Here is a 19026-nt window from a genome sequence, read left to right on the forward strand (position 1 = left end):
GTTTGGCTGGAATGGTGGTTTTTCAGGGAGTAGTAGACTGGGATGGATGGAGAGGTCAGTTTTAGATTATGGAGGGCCATAAAAACAAGGTTAGGAATGTGGACTTTATCTTGTGGAGAGTTACTGAAGGCTTTTCAGCAGAAGGCTGACATAATAGCAAAGAGATGGTTTAGAGACAGTATCGCACATTTGTGTGTAGGGTGAAGTTGGGGATAGCGCTAGGGGTGGGGAGGAACTCCAGAGAGAAGAGCCAGTCATTTTAGTGGTGGATTTGGAGATTATTCACTCAATTCAATGAATTCTTTGTTCAAATGGCTTTTTTAGTTTTCTTTTTAAAGTACTTTCTTTTCTTAAAATAACCAGTGTCTTCTTTAAATGCAGTTTAAACTTTTGTAAGCCTTCGTGATGTCTATGTAGTTTCAGTTGCTTATGATTCATACAGGTAGATAGCACAGTTGCCAGAAACAGCAATAAACCATATATGCTTTTCTCATAAATTTTACGTTAGGCAGTCTTGAGAAAATGTATCTTGTTCTTTAGAGAAAATTTTTTAAAACTAACAGTCCTTACAGTTATTAAGCACTAATACAGTGATATAAAATGCTCTGTAGTGAACTTAAATTGTCTAGCTGTGTGTGTGTGTGTGTGTGTGTGTGTGTGTGTGAAGCTAAAGGGGCCCTCATTAATGAGTCTGCTGTTACTAAACATGCATGGAAAAGGATGTAAAGGGCCTTGTTAGTGGCAGAGCCTGGACAAGAATTTAGGTCTTCCGACTTGGTTTTGGTACTTCTAGCCTTGGCATTTTAATGGTTTTTGCTTTGTTCCTCTTAGGAAAAACATAAAAGTTCTCTTTGGCTGTCTTTATGTTTACTGTTTCAGAGAAATATTCTTTTGGGGAAATTTCTTAAGTTGCCATTACATTAAACCCACTGAGATTTGGAAGACTAAAAATAATTTTCCTATTTTGTAAACTTGAGCCTTGGTTTCCTTTTTTTTTGTAAAATGGGACTGATACAGAAAGCCTTGAGGAATAAATAAAATGGTGTGAAAGTGTTTTGAAACACAAATGTAAAATGGTTGTGTAGACACTACTGCTGGTTCAGCCAACATTCCTTTTCCCCTCTGACAATCCAGATTTCATTCAAGTGTCTGCATCCTTTTCAGATGACTCAGGGGAAGGCATTTCAGGGTAATTCTGATTAATCTAACTCAGTGGTTCTCAATCGTAGCTGCTCAATAAAATCACCTGGGGGAACTGTTAAAGCAGTCAGGGTTAAGAAACTATAAGTCCGTTATGATAAACCCATTTTCTGGGTTGGTAATTATTAGAAGAATGAGGTTGTATCCCAGTTCTGACCAAGGAGACGTGACAGGAAGTCTGGGTACTGCAGGGGGAGGCTTCCTTTTGTCATAGGAGACGCGAAGAAGGATGGTTTTCTACTTTTCTGTATTCTCTCATGATGCCTGGGACTGCTACCCACTATCTTGGGCCTGAGGGTAAGTGGCATAGCGCGCTAACTGAATCTGGGTTCTTGATGCTGTTGGGAGACCTGTGGGATTTTCTATGCTTTGAATGTCTTGTTAAATGACATAAGACAGTTTTGAGTTGGGTTTTCTGCTACTTAATGCCCTAGGTTTTTTATTTATTATTATTTTTAGATTTTTAAAATTTTATTTGAGATGTGAGTCTCGCCCTGTTGCCTAGGCTAGAATGCAGTGGTGCAATCTTGGCTCAGGGCAACCTCCGTCTCCCGGGTTCAAGTGATTCTTGTGCCTTAGCCTCCCAAGTAGCTGGGATTACGGGCACGCGCCACCATGCCCAGCTAATTTTTGTACTTTTTTTTTTTTTTTTTGTAAAGACAGGGTTTCACTGTGGTTGGTCTTGAACTCCTGGCCTCATGTGATCCGTCCACCTCGGCCTCCCAAAGTGCTGGGATTACAGGTGTCAGCCACTGCGCCTGGCCTTAATGGCCTAATTTTGATAAAGTGGTGTAATTGTAAATTTTGTGATTATGCTCCCATCAAGTGGAATTTAGAGAGATACAGAAAATAAAATGCTATTTTAAAAAGTTAATAAATTGCAGGGTAATTTTTTCCCGAATGGAAAGGAATACTCATCTACACTCTTTGCCTTGAAGAAGTTACCATAGAGCCCCTACAATTTGGGGCATCACCTGGGATAAGTCCAACTGTCACTTGGGGCTTTATTACAGTGGCTGGTCTCCAGTGTGAATGTAGACCGGCTGTGAAAATAATTACAATCAGACTTGAGCCAGGGTGGGGACCCAGACAGGCTTGAAAAGCTTGAAATGCTTTACTCACTGCAGGTGGTCTTTGACTCCATTTAGAGTTGTTCCTATTTAGAGCTTCCCACCAGGCCACCAGCTGAGCCATGGTTATTTAGAACAGATTTTTTACTAGCCAGTCAGCAATCTAATGTTCTCAGTGTCTTTTTGTCACATTGCCTTTCTCTGTCCTCCCATCTGCTGGGGTTCCTTTGACCAGCTCCTTGTCGCTGTGTTGTTGTTGTTTTTTTTTTTTTTGAGGGGACTAGGGTACATTGTAGACTTTTGGATAAAGAATACAGAGAGGAGGGTATTTTTGTGTTTAATCTTTAAAATAGCTGATGGAATATAATATAGAAGATTAAGAGCATAAGCTGAGGTACTAGCCTGGCTGGGTTCATACCCAAGCTCAACCACCTGCTAACAGGGGATCCTTGCTCAAGCTGCTTAGCTTTTCTATATCTGTGTTCTCGTCAGTAAAATAGAAATTGTAGGGCTGGGCGCGGTGGCTCACGGCTATAATCCCAGCACTTTGGGAGGCCGAGGCGGGCGGATCACGAGGTCAGGAGATCGAGACCATCCTGGCTAACACGGTGAAACCCCATCTCTACTAAAAATAAAAAATAAATTAGCCGGGCGTAGTGGAGGGCACCTGTAGTCCCAGCTACTCGGGAGGCTGAGGCAGGAGAATGGCGTGGACCCAGGAGGTGGAGCTTTCAGCGAGCAGAGATCGCGTCACTGCACTCCAGCCTGGGCAACTGAGTGAGACTCTGTCTCCCCCCCCCAAAAAAAATTATAATACGACCTACTATATTGGATTAAAAGTAGGATTTGTTAATACATGTAAAGCATTTAGTATAAGTGCTCAAAGGTTAACAATTATGATGACATAACTAAATTACAGGCATATATTTTATTATCAAGGCCCTGTTCTTGCCTCAAAATAGCTGTTCTGCACCCTAGACCAGGTATCTAACCTTTTAGTGTTTATTACCCCTAACAGTATATTTCTCCAAAGCACCATTACCAGTGACCAAGAAGAGAGACAAAATTGTCAAACCCTGGAAAGGCTTCCAAATTTTGATTGTAGTTCGGGATGCTGGAAAATCTTGAAAACACATTGGTGGCTGGGCTCAGTGGCTCACGTCTGTAATCCTAGCACTTTGGGAGGCCGAGGCGGGTGGATCACTTGAGGTTAGGAGCTCAAGACTAGTCTGGAGAACATGGTGAAACCCCATCTCTACTAAAAATACAAAAAAAAATTAGCCGGGTCTGGTGGCAGGCGCCTGTAATCCTAGCTTCTCGGGAGGCCGAGGCAGGAGAGTTGCTTGAATCCAGGAGACGGAGGTTGCAGTGAGCTGAGATCACGCCATTGCACTCCAGCCTGGGCAACAGAGCGAGACTCTGTCTCAAAAAAAAAAAAAAAAAGAAAAGAAAATACATTGGCAAATCAGAGCTCAGTGGTATCTTGGGAAAATATTTTCTAGAATTTATTTTTGATTCACAAAGATTTGAAGATAAAGTAGAATGTGTTGCTAAGGTCATTGCAAAACTAGTAAGCAATCTATAGTCGAGGTTCAGGCAGTCAGCAGCAGGCCTTTCCTCCAAGTGACTGATAAGGAAGAGTTGATGACAGAGTTCATCTCAAGGTATTGACATGACAATATAAGTGACTGCAGCCTTCAAATACTTCAAATTACAGAGATACTTTTTGAGGACGTGAACTCAAAATTAGGGTTTCTAGCGTCTGACATGCTGGAAATCCTAACAGCTTGTATTTGCTATGGTAAATTCACAATAAAAGAAGACGACCAGAGACATCCCTAAGAGGGATTTTCCTAAGAGCTGTTAGGTAATCCTGTTCTCTACAGTGGAATACTCAAAAGTGCTCTGGACAAATTCCCAAAGAAGCTGTTTTGAATTCTGTGACTTCAATAGCTGTTTGTCACCTTATATCTTGGGCTTTTTTTTTTTTTTTTGACGGAGTTTCGCTTTTGTTGCCCAGGCTGGAGTGCAATGGCATGATCTTGGTTCACTGCAACCTCCGCCTCCCAGGTTCAAGCGATTCTCCCGCCTCAGCCTCCCAAGTAGCTGGGATTACAGGCGCCTGCCACCACACCCGGCTAATTTTTGTATTTTTTGTAGAGATGGGGTTTCACCACATTGGCCAGGCTGGTCTCGAACTCCTGACATCAGGTGATCCAGCTGCCTCGGCCTCCAAAAGTCCTGGGATTACAGGTGTGAGCCACTGCGTCTGGCCTTACTGGGTTACTTTTTTTTTTTTTTTTTTTGAGACAGAGTCTTGCTCTGTTGCCCAGGCTGGAGTGCAGTGGTGTGATCTTGGCTCACTGCAACCTCCGCCTCCCAGGTTCAAGCAAGTTTCCTGCCTCAGCCTCAGCTGCACACCCTGTAGCTAGTATTATAGGTGTGTGCCACCAGGCCTGGCTACGTTTTGTATTTTTTGTAGAGATGGAGTTTCACCATGTTGGCCAGGCTGGTCCTGAACTCCTGACCTCAGTGAATTCAGAGAGATTAGTAGCTTGTCTAAATCACAATTTGTCATTGATGGAGCTGGAATGTGAACCTAGGTTTGTCTTCACTCCAAAACCCTGAACCACAGTAATGAGCTGTCTCTGTAAAGGGGTGTAACCGTGGTCTTCTGCTAGGGAAGTGATAATCGATCTTGATTATCTAGAGTGTGTGTACATTTGATCTAGTTAGGATATTCTTTTTACATTAGTATGATGACTGATTTAAATTTTGTTAAATTTTAAGACCCCTCTGGGGCCATTATTATAATTTAAACTGATTGCTAATTTGTATTATGAGTACAGTATAGACATTCCAAGGTCGGGTTGATTTAGTATCCATTACAAGACACAGACCTCCACTCTGTCTCTCTCAATCTCCACCTTCCTCTTTTCCTCCCCATTCCTTGTCCTACCCTTCAGTAGAGTAACTTTTAACTTATTCTTTTAGTATTAGGCTTGTTTTTCCTTTGAAAAGTTTGAGATACTTTAGAAATATAAAAAGATAGTCTCACAATAAACATTCATTTATTTTTCCCCCTCCCCCCAGCTTAATGAAAGCATCTTGTATACCCATTCTTTTCCCCAAGGGGTAGGACCTATCTCAGATCTGGTGTTTATTGTTCCTAGGCATTTTGATACAGTTGGGCACATCCATAAACAATATATAATGTGTTTGCATGTGTTTAAACTTTATATAATGGTTTCATCCTATACTTTTTTCCCTCTGAATATATTTGTGAGATTCATCCAATTGGATGTATGTAACTTTATTTCATTTAGTTCAACCTTTTTTTCCTACAAGTGACATTTAAAAGGACTTTGTTAATTGATGTTCTATGATGATGTACCTTCTACCTATGCATTTTTTGGATGATAAAACTAAATATATTTAGGGAATATTCATGATGAAAGCCTTATTGAAATTTGTTTTATAAATTTAGGATACTAGCTTTCAAAACAGTCAGTAATTAATAAATCCATGAATCTTAAAGACATTTAACCCATTTTCTTTTTGGTATTTTGTTACCAGCCCAGCATGGATAATCAGAGTAAGCCAGTTCATGTCTCAGGACTATATGAGAACTGGTTTGAGTCAGAAACAAAAAATCTTTAAAAGCCATTTTGCTTCATTGAAATTAGACTTCTGATTAGAAAGAGAAAAATGATGTTTGTATAAACACAATGTACATGGAGAATTCTGGTAACTGTCAAGCTAGTTGGGGCAGATGAACATGATTTTCAGGCAGGGACTGGATGGTATCTTGTGGTAAGCCCCAAAGCAAACACTGGCAGGTCTGCTTCCCTTACTTATCCTAACACAGGAATGTAATTGCCAGGGGGATGCTTTTGTATTGAGAAGGCCTTGATATTGTTCTCTTTATAAACACATACACACACACACAGAGAAAAACACCAGACACTTTACATTCTAAAGGCAGGCATCTTGATATCGTTCTCTTTACACACACACACACACACACACACGCACACACACACACACACACACACACACACACACACACCAGGCGCTTTGCATTCTAAAGGCAGGCATCTCTGTAAACTCTGAGATGGACTGGAGTCACACCCCAAGTTGCTGCCATAGCTAGGCCTGACTCCCTGGTCCAACTAGAATTTCCTCCCTGTGTTTCCTCAGAAAGACATTAATCCAGTGCCACTTAATATTTCAACGGTGAGTGTGATTTCTCCTGACTTGTTGACTTGTTTACCCACAGGCATCTTCTACCCTCACTCTTGGTGGCAAGTCATGGTGAGATGTGTGGCTGGAAGAACTCAATTTGGCCACAGCAGTGTCACCTCAGGTCAGAATACAGGATGTGGAATGGTCTCTTAAAAAAAAAAATGAGTGCTTTCTTTTCTGACTGTAAAGTTGGCCTCACCGTTTATTAGCTGTGTGACTTTGGGCAAGTTATTTAAGCCTTCAGTGCCTACATTTTTCTTTATTAGTAAAATGGCCCTAGTAAGAACTCTGCCTCACTGGTGGTGGTATTTAATCCTCACATTACATATTAAAAGATCTTAGGACTCTGCTTGGCTATGGTAGGTGCCTATTATTTTTATTATTATTATTAAAATAACTATTTTCCTTTGGTTGAACTTGAGCACAGTTGTGGCTTTACCCATAGTTACAGGAGAAATAGTCTGTGAACACTTTTTTTTTTTTTTTTTTTTTTTTGAGATGGAGTCTCGCTTTTGCAGCTCAGGCTGGAGTGCAATGGCACAATCTCGACTCACTGCAACCTCTGCCTCCCGGGTTCAAGCGATTCTCCTGCCCCAGCATCCCGAGTAGCTGGGATTATAGGCACCTGCCACCACGCCTGGCTAATTTTTTTGTATTTTTAGTAGAGATGGGGTTTCACCATGTTTGCCAGGCTGGTCTTGAACTCCTGACCTCAGTGATCCGCCTCTCTCGGCCTCCCAAAGTTCTAGGATTACAGGCATGAGCCACTGTGCCCAGCGCATGTTTTTTTCTTCCAATCTAATCATATTTTGAAGCACAGAGCTGAATATAGGCCTCTCATTTATACATAGGAGAAATCATCCATAATAGTGTTGAAATCTGATGTATTACTGAAAGCCTTTTTTTTTTTTTTAAAGTTTTGGGGACAAAGCCAGAAGTACAAGGGAATACAGTGTCCTTGACATGACATTACATTTATTTGAGAATCGGGCAGATTCTCTGCCATACTGATCGATAGTTTTTTTTTTTTTTTTAATTTTTATTTTTGGAGACAGTCTCACTCTGTCACCCAGGCTGCAGTGCTGTGGCATGATCTCGGCTCACTGCAACCTCTGCCTCCTGGGTTCAAGCGATTCTCCTGCCTCAACCTCCCGAGTAGCTGGGATTACAGGCGTGCACCACCATGCCTGGCTATTTTTGTGTATTTTTAGTGGAGATGGGGTTTCACCATGTTGACCAGGATGGTCTCGAATGCTTGACCTCGTGATCCACCCGCCTCAGCCTCAAAGTGCTGAGATTACAGGTGTAAGCCACCGCGCCCAGCCGATAGTTTTGTTTTTATTTTGTGAAATGCGAATCAAAGGCAGCACAGCAAACATACTAAAATAGATAGGTCTTTGAAACCAGGTTTACTTACTGTGTGACCTTGGGCAAGTTGTTTAACTTCTCTGTGCCTTGATTTCCTCCTCTGTAAAATGTGGATAATAGTCAGCTGGGCACAGTGGTGCACGCCTGTAATTCCAGCACTTTGGGAGGCTGAGGCGGGCGGATCACCTGAGGTCGGGAGTTGGAGACCAGCCTGACAAACATGGAGAAACCACATCTCTACTAAAAATATAAAATTAACTGGGCATGGTGGTGCATGCCTGTAATCCCAGCTACTCTGGAGGCTGAGGCAGGAGAATCGCTTGAATCCGGGAGGCAGAGGTTGCGGTGAGCCAAGATTGCGCCATTGCACTCCAGCCTGGGCAACAAGAGTGAAACTCCTTCTCAAAAAAATAAATAAATACATAAATAAATAAAGTGGATAATAGTTACATGTTTAAAATGTTGCAAGGCTTAAATTATTTTTAAAGTACTTAAAAAAATTGCCTGAACCATAGTGAACTCTCTCTGTGTTTGCTAGGCGTAGAAAAAAAATTAAAAATATATTCAGTCATCACTAGAACAACCTTATTTATGACAGTGGTGGAGTGGTGTCATCTTGTCACTGAACTCTAGCTATGGTGGGCTAGTTGCTAGAGGTTTGTGAGAAGAAACGTGTATATTAGTGCAGAAGAGTTCTAGTGCAGGAGACAGCAAATTTATTTAAAAAGCAATTACATTCACATTGTTGAATCAGTATGGGATGCGATGACTGTAGTTAACAGGACTACCTAGTTTGGGGGTTCCAAGAAGACTTCAAGAAAATAAAACTTCTAGGCTGAGACCAAAAGGAGGGATCAGAGCTTTCCCTGCTGAGAGTGGGGAAGAAGTATTCTCCAAGTGCAGGGAAAATGCATCTGAGAGGTCAGAGAGAGCACATCCTGTGGATGGAAAAATGGTGCTCAGGTGGGCCAGGGAATCTGCATTGAGGATAAGAATGGTGCTGTCGAGGGGGTGGGGGAGGGTCAAGAAGGCCCTTGGAAAGCAGGTTGAGGGCTTTACTCTAAGGACAGTAGGAAGTGATCGAAAAGTTTTGTGTAGGGGAGTGGTGTGAGTTGAATTGTTGTAGAAAGCTTTCTCGGAGTGCAGTTGTGCAAATGAATCGGAGGAAAGCAGGACTGGAGGTTGGGGGGTCAGTCATCCAGGCCAGAGACTTTGGTGGCAGAAGAGGAGTCAAGACTTAGCAGCTGCAGGCTATAGGGGGTGATTGGGTGTGGGGGCTGCCCTGACACCTCAGGTTCTGGTGTGGGCTGGTGAGTGCAGTTCACTGAGGTCCTGCCACAGCAGCAGCTTTTGTGGGAGAGAGGATGAGTTTTTGGTTTTGGATGTGGAGGGCAAGGTATTTCGTAGTAGCCAGGAGACATGTTCAATAGTGTGTTTCTTTTATGGGTGTGTATTTCAGGAATGGGGAATACAGCTGGAGATAAAGATTCTGGAGACACACCATATGGATGGGAAACGATGCCATGCAGCTGAATACCGAGGCTGCCGAGAGAGAATGTAGAGGGAGAAGGCAGGGAGAGGGTCAGGGCAAATCCGGAGGAACTCCATCTTTTAAGGGGTAGGTGAAAGAAGAACTTGAAATCTGAGAAACAGTAGCCATTGACAGAGAGATGGAAAACCAGGAGAGGGTCTCAAAAGCCAAGGAGAAAGAGTGTTCAGAGAGCAGGAGGGAGTAGACAAGGCCATGCCACAGAGAGGTCAAGTAGCTTGAGTCAAGGTGACATTGTGTTGGCCACACACTGTCATTGGTAATAGTGGGAGAGTAGTTTAGGTGGCCAAGCAGAACTGGGAGCCTGCTTGCAGAGGGCTGAGAAGGGAGTGTGAGGAAAGTCAGTGAACTTGGGTACGGATAGCTCTCCTAAATTATTTGGCCTGCCATCCAAATACTTCAAAACATTCAACCCTGTCTTCAAGCAGGCTTGACCCTGCTTAGCATCTGAGATCAGACAGGGTTGAATGTGTTCAGGGTGGTGTGGCTGTAGACCCAGATTACGTGGTCAGTGGGAGAGGAGGAGATGGAAGATTCAGGGGTCCATCTCAGAGCACAAAGTGTTTGTTTGTTTGTTTGTTTGTTTTGAGACGGAGTCTCGCTGTGTCACCCAGGCTGGAGTGCAGTGGCGCAATCTCAGCTCACTGCAAGCCCCGCCTCCTGGGTTCACGCCATTCTCCTGCCTCAGCCTCCCGAGTAGCTGGGACTACAGGCGCCCACAACCACGCCCTGCTAATTTTTTGTATTTTTAGTAGAGACGGGGTTTCACCGTGTTAGCCAGGATGGTCTCCATCTCCTGACCTCTTGATCTGCCCGCCTCGGCCTCCCAAAGTGCTGGGATTACAGGTGTGAGCCACTGTGCCCGGCCTTTTTTTTTTTTTTGAGATGGAGTTTCGCTGTTGTTGCGTAGGCTGGGTGCAGTGGCGTGATCTCGGTTCACGGCAACCTCCACTTCCCAGGTTCAAGCGATTCTCCTGCCTCAGCCTCCTGAGTAGCTGGGATTACCGGTGTGCACCACCACACCTGGCTAATTTTTTGCATCTTTTTAGTAGAGATGGGGTTTCACCATGTTGGTCAGGCTTATCTCGAACTCCTGACCTCGTGATCTTCCCGCCTCTGCCTCCCAAAGTGCTGGGATTACAGGCGTGAGGCACCGTGCCCTGCCACAAAGTGCTTCTTATTTATTTATTTAATTATTTTGAGACAGAGTCTCACTCTGTCGCCAGGCTGGAGTGCTGTGGCGTGATCTTGGCTCACTGCATCCTCTGCCTCCGGGGTTAAAGCGATTCTTCTGCCTCAGCCTCCCGAGTAGCTGGGACTACAGGCATGCACCACCATGCCCAGCTAATTTTTGTATTTTTAGTAGAGACGAGGTTTCACCATGTTGGCCAGGATGGTCTTGATCTCTTAACCTTGTGATCCGCCCGCCTTGGCCTCCCAAAGTGCTGGAGTTACAGGTGTGAGTCACTGCGCCAGGCCTGCTTTTTTTTTTTTTTTGAGATGGAGTTTTGCTCTTTGCCCAGGCTGGAATGCAGCGGCGCGATCTTGGCTCACTGCAACCTCCACCTCCTGGGTTCAAGTGATTCTCCTGTCTCAGCCTCCTGAGTAGCTCGCTTGCCACCACTCCCCGTTAATTTTTGTATTTTTAGTAGAGACGGGGTTTCACCATGTTGGCCAGGCTGGTCTTGAACTCCTGACCTCAGCTGATCCGCCCACCTCAGCTTCCCAAAGTGCTGGGATTGTAGGTGTGAGCCACCGTGCCTGGCAGCGTGCTTCTTAATATAGAAGGTGGGATTCATATTCTAGGTGAAGAAGTGGTGGGAGGGTGTACCTTTCACCTGTTTCATGACAGAGGAGATGGTAAATGATGTCTACACACTCAAATTGTAGATTTATGGCAGGACATCGAGGAAACTGTCAACTGATGGATTTATTTTCCCTGAGGTAGATGACAAGATTCAGTAATTCTGTTTTAATCTCTCCCCCACCACATTCTTTTTCTGGTTGATATTAATACTACATGACTTGTAAGAGTGGTTTTCCTCATAGTCTGTTTGAACTGAGTGGGATGGCATACAGATGTTAAGCTGAGAAGAGGTAATGGGGTTAGGGGAGAAAAAGGAGTTAAATGTTTGGGTAAACAACCCTCATGATACCCAGAAAGGCCGCTGTTTCAGGCTTTATTTCACACTTTGTTCTGTTGCACTTAAAAGACCCAAACGGTCCTTCATCTTTTTTTTTTTTCCCCCAAAGTATTAAAACCGATTTTCTCTTTTATCTCACCGGAGTCATGCTGATTCTCTTTGGATGTCTACAGGGAATAAAATGCCTCTGGCAGCACCTGGGAAGATTGTAGGACTTCCAAGTGTCTGCCTCTTTGTCCAAGAGAAGAGGAGGAATAGAAATTGTAAGAGTTAAAAATGGAATAATTATCTATTATCTAAAAATATCTTCTCTTGCTCTTTTCTAGCTAACTACTTAGGTTCAACCTAGTTGAAGAAACAATGCCTAGAAGAAATAAATGCTTACAAAAGATACCCATCAGTGGGTGGTATGCAGATAGCCCTTGTCTTCCCTTCAGGGCTGGACACCCTGACCGCCATGGAGGTGGCCACACAGCATCCCTTCAGGGATGTGGAGTGTGGAGACCTTCAGATGCTTCAGAGGGAGGATATGAGTGGAGAAGTTCTTTGCATGTGTTTCTAGAGCTAGAGTTGGTGTCCTGTTTTTTTGTGGAAAGGATAGAGTTTAAAAATTAATCTGAACTTTTTCTTCCCCTTTCTTCAGATTATTGTTATAAAAATACTATGGATGCTCATTTATTTCAGCTGTCAGTGAGAGGAATCAGACTAAAACCTTGTTGAAGCAAAAGAAAAAAAAAAGAAATTTTGGCTTGTGGGTGAAGACTGAAGACTAAAGACCTTTCTTACTGCACTGGGAATTCCAGAGAATACTGACTCTTTTTCCCTAGACCAGTGGTTCTCAAATGGGTGATTTTGACTGTCTAGAGACAATTTTGGTTGTTACTTTAGGGAGATGCTATGGTTTCTAGCGGGCAGAGGCCAGTGATGCTGCTAAACACCCTGCAGTGCACAGGACAGCTCCCCTACAATGAAGAATGATCCAGCCCCAAATGTTCGTAGTGCTGAGGTTGAGAAACTCTGCCTTAGAAATAGGGAGCCCATGTAATCTAAACCCAGATACTCTTGAGAAGTACAGTTATGCTAAGACAATAACCATGAACTGGAATTGCTACAAGTATACCTGGACCTGTGGTTGCTCTACATAAAGGCCTTATCAGTCCTGGGTCACTTGCCCGGCATAGACCAGTCACTGAGATGTGGTGGATGTTGTACTTTGGCCAGCCTGAATCATGTGCCTACCAGTCGGGTGAAGAAGTGGGCAGCAAGTGATTGCTCGGACAGAATGCCACAGCTCACAACAAAGGGTATAGAAACTAGTAAAAAAAAGCTGATGTCTTGTACCAAGTTTTAGTTTTAGAAAATAAGATCTGGAGATCTGTATAATATGGAGCATATGATTAACAATATTGTATACTTACAATTTTCCTAAGAGGGTAGATCTTATATTAAGTGCTCTTTCCACAAAGGGAAAAGAAAACAAAAACAAAATGATACAGGGAGTGGGAGGAAACTTTTGGATGTGATAGCATTGATAATGATGGTGGCTTGATGGTTTCACAGGTGTATGCTTATCTGCAAACACATCAAGATATGTACATTAAACACACAAAAAGCAGTAGATAGGCTGGGCACTGTGGCTCAGGCCTGTAATTCCAGCAATTTGGGAGGCTGAGGCAGGAGGATTGCTTAAGGTTAGGAGTTTGAGACCAGCCTGGGCAACATAGACCCTATTTCTAAAAACAGGGTTGGGGGCGTGGGGGCACACACCTGTAGTCCTAGCTACTTGGGAGGCTGAGGTGGGAGGATTGCTTGAATCCGGGAGATTGATGCTGCAGTGAGCTGTGATCATGCCACTGTATTCCAGCCTGGGCAGCAGAGTGAGACCCTGTGTCTTAAAAAAAGAAAGCTGATGTCCTATACATAAGATAACTTTTACTTTTGAAACTCACTTTATTAGACCTGTTTTGATCTGGGCCTAGGGACTGCACATGGCAAAACAAATGAGGACTATATGAAAACAGTCAAAATAAGTATGCCTTCTATTTTTTTCCCCGTTGCTTGGTTGATTAATTTTAACCATAATAGAGGAGGTGAGAGAGATGAAATTGGCAAGAGGGTGGAAATGAAGACTGTGATTCCTGTAGCTTGCCTGGATACAAGGACAAGGTTGTTGGCACAGTGAGGTATCTATGCCTTATAATAGAACCCCTGACCAGAGGAAAAAATTTAGATTAAAATACTTAATATTTATAACACCTTAGCTTGTTGTAGGCCAAGAAAATATTTAAAGAATTAAATAGCAGTTTACTGGCTTAATTTAAATTTCTGACACTGATAGTTCTCCTATTTATTTTTGAAGAAACAAAGCATTGTTAAGAAAAACTAATTTTTGTGGGTATCATTAATCCAGCAGAATGGATTGAATAATTTTACATTCTTTTTACCTTTAAACAAAGAAAACATTTCTTGAATGGAAATTAGAACATATGTATTTTCTAATTTTGTATGTTCTTGATTTAATTTTAAATTTGAAATCAATTGAGAAATCCTTTAAGCATCTAGAAAAGTTGTCTAAATTATTTTCTTCTGAAACTGTATTATAGTCTCTGGAAATATTTTCCATCTTTCGAGTTTATTGTGTATGCAGGATAAAATCCAACGTAAGGATTTGACAGTAGGTAGCTATTTGCACTATTTTCTGTTCATTGCAATAAGAGAACTGAGACGGTCAAACTAAATATTTGTTATGTAAACTCTGAAATCTTTTAGAATCGACTGTTGTGGCTTAATTGATACTGTCTAAAAGGCTTGAATGGCTATGCAAATTAACCTGTTGATGAACAGCCATGTATCCAGAAACAGAATGTATCACTTAACCACAGCGAACAGTGTTTTGTTTGCAATAAGATGGTTGAGTGCTTTTTGGCAGTGTTTACCTGAGTGTGGCAGGACTGATTTATCTTGACAAGCAAAGAACAAAAAGATTTTAAAAAGTGCTTCTTTGTCCAGAAAACAAAGAGGCAACTTTGTAAAGACCTTTGTATTTTTTGACCTTAAAATTTTCATTCCAAAAGCTTTAAATTTGAAAGTGTAGTTTTGAGTCAACACAGTTTCTCGGTTTAATGTATGCAGTGAGAACAAAATGGAAAGGAGTGGAGAGGGAGTTGTACCATGGTGGAAGTGAATGCATCAGGGAGCATTTGACCCTTGGAAGGTGTTGGAGGGTCACCTAGAATGAAGGGAGGTGTTTAATTTCTTTCTGACTGTGGCGTCAGTTTAATGAATGCATACCAAAAGTCAGAGTGTACATTAGGAAGAAAGAATGGAACGGGATTAATACATAATTCAGCTTTGTGTGTGTGCATTGTGTTTGTGTGTGCATAATCTAATCGTAGTTTACATATAACTAAATTAAGAGGGATTGGTGATGATTTCTTTAAAGGGAATAGTCATCACCCAACCTATTTGTTTTGTGTGCATTAATATCCGTTTTTATGTGTTGGATTTGCTTAAATGGAAGTACATATAAAATATCTTTTTTTTTTTTTGGGGGGGGTTGTAATCTCACTCTGTAACCCAGGCTGGAGTGCAGTGGCGTGATCTCAGCTCACTGCAACCTCCGCCTCCTGGGTTCAAGCGATTCTCCTGCCTCAGCCTCCTGAGTAGCTGGGACTACAGTCACGCACCACCACGCCTGGCTAATTTTTGTATTTTTTAGTAGAGATGGGGTTTCACCATATTGGCCAGGCTGGCATCAAACTCCTGACCTCGTGATCCGCCTGCCTCAGCCTCCCAAAGTGCTGTGATTACAGGCGTGAGCCACTGGTGCCCGGCCATAAAATATCTTCAATTTAAAACAATGAGCTTTGGAGGGCTCATTGTGGGCAGGTCGCGTGAGGTCAGGAGTTGGAGACTAGCCTGATCAACATGGTGAAACCCCATCTCTGCTAAAAAATATAAAAATTAGCCGGGTGTGATGGTGCGTGCCTATAGTCCCATCTACGTGGGAGGCTGAGGCAGGAGAATCTCTTGAACCCGGAAGGCAGAGGTTGCAGTGAGCCCAGATCTGGCCACTGCACTCCAGCCTGGGCAACCGAGTGAGACGCCACCTCAAAACCAAAAACAAAAAAAACAAACAATGAGTAGATCACTATTGTTTTAGATTAGAGATGTTAGATTTTAATTGACCTGATATATAAGTTTAGCTATTGTTAAACATTATCTGAGAAGTACTAAAACAAGTTTACTGGAATTAATGATAATAATGGTGGTGTTTGTAGTAGGAGTAGATAATAGTTGTTGTTTTTTTTTTTTTGAGACAGAGTCTTGTTCTTCCACCCAGGCCAGGGTGCAGTGGCGTGATCTCGGCTCACTGCAACCTCCGCCTCCTGGGTTCAAGCAATTCTCCTGTCTCAGCCTCCTGAGTAGCTGGGATGACAGGCGCATGCTACCACGCCTGGCCATTTTTTTTGTATTTTTAGTAGAGATGGGGTTTCACCATGTTGGCCAGGCTGGTCTTGAACTCCTGGCCTCAAGTGATGTGCCTACCTCCGGCCCCCTAAAGTACTGGGATTACAGGTGTGAGCCACTGCACCTGGCCTTTTTTTGCTTTTTTTGGAGCACTTGTGTTTCAGAGACTGTGCCCAGTGTTTTCACAGGAGTTAGCATTTCTCACAGCAGTCCTCTGATAGTTAATCTCGTAATAATTGCCATTTTGCAATTTAAGAACGTGGGTTTAGAGAGGTTGACATTTGCCCGAGGGTACTCATCTAGGTAGCTGAGGCTCCTGCAAGTTATACACTTTCTGAAGCCTTTAGTTTTTTTTTTTTTTTTTTTTTAAGATGGAGTGTTGCTCTGCCATCAGGTTGGAGTGCAGTGGCATGATCTCGACTCACTGCCACCTCTGACTCCCAGGTTCAAGCAATTCTCCTGCCTCAGCCTCCTGAGTAGCTAGGACTATAGGCGTGCGCCACCACACCCAGCTAATTTTGTATTTTTAGTAGAGACAGGGTTTCACCATATTGGCCAGGATGGTCTTGATCTCCTAACCTCATGATCTGCCTGCCTTGGCCTCCCAAAGTGCTGGAATTACAGGCATGAGCCACAACGCCTGGCCAAGCCTTTAGTATTATAGAAGAGCATGCATTATTGTCATTGATACAGTATTTCACAGATCTGATTTGGGGTGTTATCTTGTGTAAAGTCGTGGGGTTGTAATGTCTGCAAAGCTTACTTTCGGGAAATTAAAAATTTTCTATCAAGTGATAGAAACTTCCTTTAAGCTATTAAAAGTTATAGGAAAGGAAGTCATTTTCATATAATCTGGAATAGTGGCTGTGCTATTTTATTTGCATTACAAAAAATTGAAAAAAACGCTATTGTTTGCTTTTAAACAAAGCAGACTTTAAAAAGTAATGTTACTGTTAATGATTTAATAGAGGGTACACAGGTTTAATCTGTACTCACAGTTTGATCTTTTTTTTTTTTTTGGTGACGGGGTCTCATTTGTTGCTTAGGCTGGCGTGATCTTGGCTCACTGCAACCTCCACCTCCTGGGCTCAAGTGATTCTTGTGCCTCAGCCTCCCGAGTAGCTGGAATTACAGGTGTGCGCCGCCATGCCTGGCTGATTTCTGTATTTTAGTAGAGACGGAGTTTTGCCATGTTGGCCAGGCTGGTCTCAAATTCCTGACCTCAAGTGATCCTCCCACCTTGGCCTCCCAAAGTGCCGGGATTACAGGCGTGAGCTGCCGCACCTGGCCTGCTTTACTATTAATGCTGATCTGGGCCTTTGATTAAATTTGCTGCTTATCTCATGCCTGTGTTGCCATTTTATTTTCTTCCCAAATAATAGCCATTCCTTTTATTTTTAGAAGTATTTTTATTCTCTTTGGTGATGGTATTCTCAATGTATTTAATCTGAAGTAAATTTTCTCCAGATTCACCTATGAGGAGCCTGCTACCCAGAAGGTTAAGAATTTTGTCCAAAGTCATATGGCAAAGTAATAGTATCAGTGAAGACACTGTAGTCAGTTTTAAAACATTTCAGAGTTTAGCCAGTAAATACTGAATTTAGTAAACCTCAATTTGCGTATGGAAAGCTGGAAATAAAACTCGTCTCCTGACTGCTGTGTTGGAGCTGGAAGGAATGTCCAACCTTCTTACACCATAGATAAGGAAACATGAAACATGCCTGCAGCGGCCACTTAGATATATCTGCTCTGTCCTGTCAGTTCAGGAAGCTCATTTCTAGTGTTGAGTTTACTCTGAAGTCAATTTTCTTTTCTTTTCTTTTTTTTTTTTGAGACACAGTCTGTTGTCCAGGCTGGAGTACAGTGATGTGATCTCGGCTCACTACAACCTCTGCCTCCTGGGTTCAAGCGATTCTCCTGCCTCAGCCTCCTGAGTAGCTGGGGCTATAGGTGTGCACCACCGTACCTGGCTAATTTTTTGGTTTTTTTTTTTTTTTAGTGGAGATGGAGTTTCACCATGTTGGCCAGGTTGGTCTTGAACTCCTGACCTCAGGTGATCTGCCTGCCTCAGCCTCCCAGAGTGCTGGGATTACAGGCGTGAGCCACTGCCCCTGGCCTGAAGTCAATTTTCTTATGTTTGTTTGCAGTGAACAAGTAATTAAGGAAATGAACCAGTAAATGAGAAAATTATATTTGAGAGAATGATTTTTTTCCCCTTTCGAAACTATTTTCATGATGCTCACGTATTCATGAATGTTGAAAATTTACATTGGGATGAGAGTGAGAGAGTATTGAGGCTGCACCGTTTAATAATTCCACATGTATGAGAGTCCTTCCTCTTGATGCTTAATTTGTGGTTAGAGAGATTAACAAATTGAGCAAAGATGATGTGACATTATTTCATAGTTTGGGGCTTCCATTCATCTGCTACTACTCGTTCTAAGAAAGACCTAACGTTCCTAAAAACTTTGATACCCCTCACCTTGCCTGTGTTCCAGGTTCCAGTAAACTCCTGGCTTACTGAGGGCAGTGTCTGTCTTTCGTCCTCCAGCAGTGTCTAGAACAGTGCCTTGCTCATAGGCACTGAGTCAGTACCCATCTGGCTCCTGGAATGTTTGAGTTGGAAGTCCCAGAAGTCTAGAATGTTTATTTAGGTTAAGCTAAGAAGCAGATGCAAGTTGAGGGAATTCAGGGCCTTTAATTCTTGTTCTGTTTCCAGGTGTCATTTACATAAGGCATACGATGCCTTTTGTAAGTAACTCCATACCATTTGTTGCTATTGTAGTTCCTCTTGCAAATTCCTGCTGAGTACTTTGATGCACAGGAGGTGAAAGGGGCTAGAAAGCTGTTTTGGCCTTAGTTGAGTTGATGAAACTTCAGAACGTTAAGACAGGCTTAGAAAGGAGTCAGTGTTCTGGGGCACAGTTGGGATAGTGTTCAAAACTACTGAGGGCCCCAAACTGCCTCCAGATAGAAAGAA

The 19026-nt window shown here is 42.7% G+C and overlaps 1 protein-coding gene and 1 pseudogene across 3 annotated transcripts in view, besides 2 other annotated features; one reads left to right on the plus strand and one right to left on the minus strand.

The window, feature by feature from the left end:
* Positions 1-19026, plus strand: part of ARHGAP10 (Rho GTPase activating protein 10) — a 340689-nt gene that overhangs the window by 3403 nt on the left and 318260 nt on the right. The gene's annotated exons all lie outside the window — the stretch shown is intronic.
* Positions 2568-3293: an enhancer, noted in NCBI's record as "NANOG-H3K27ac-H3K4me1 hESC enhancer chr4:148659209-148659934 (GRCh37/hg19 assembly coordinates)". NCBI's record gives its function as "activates a minimal SCP1, AML or CMV promoter by ChIP-STARR-seq in primed H9 embryonic stem cells {active_cell/tissue: H9 hESC(primed)}" and the evidence as "EXISTENCE:reporter gene assay evidence [ECO:0000049][PMID:30033119]".
* Positions 6418-6467: an enhancer, noted in NCBI's record as "active region_22006". NCBI's record gives its function as "activates an Ori minimal core promoter by ATAC-STARR-seq in GM12878 lymphoblastoid cells {active_cell/tissue: GM12878}" and the evidence as "EXISTENCE:reporter gene assay evidence [ECO:0000049][PMID:35858748]".
* RNA5SP165 (RNA, 5S ribosomal pseudogene 165) lies at positions 9813-9927 on the minus strand (annotated as a pseudogene).

The sequence above is a fragment of the Homo sapiens genome, chromosome 4 (genome assembly GCF_000001405.40).
Source record: "Homo sapiens chromosome 4, GRCh38.p14 Primary Assembly".
Classification (NCBI taxonomy): Eukaryota; Metazoa; Chordata; class Mammalia; order Primates; family Hominidae; genus Homo; species Homo sapiens.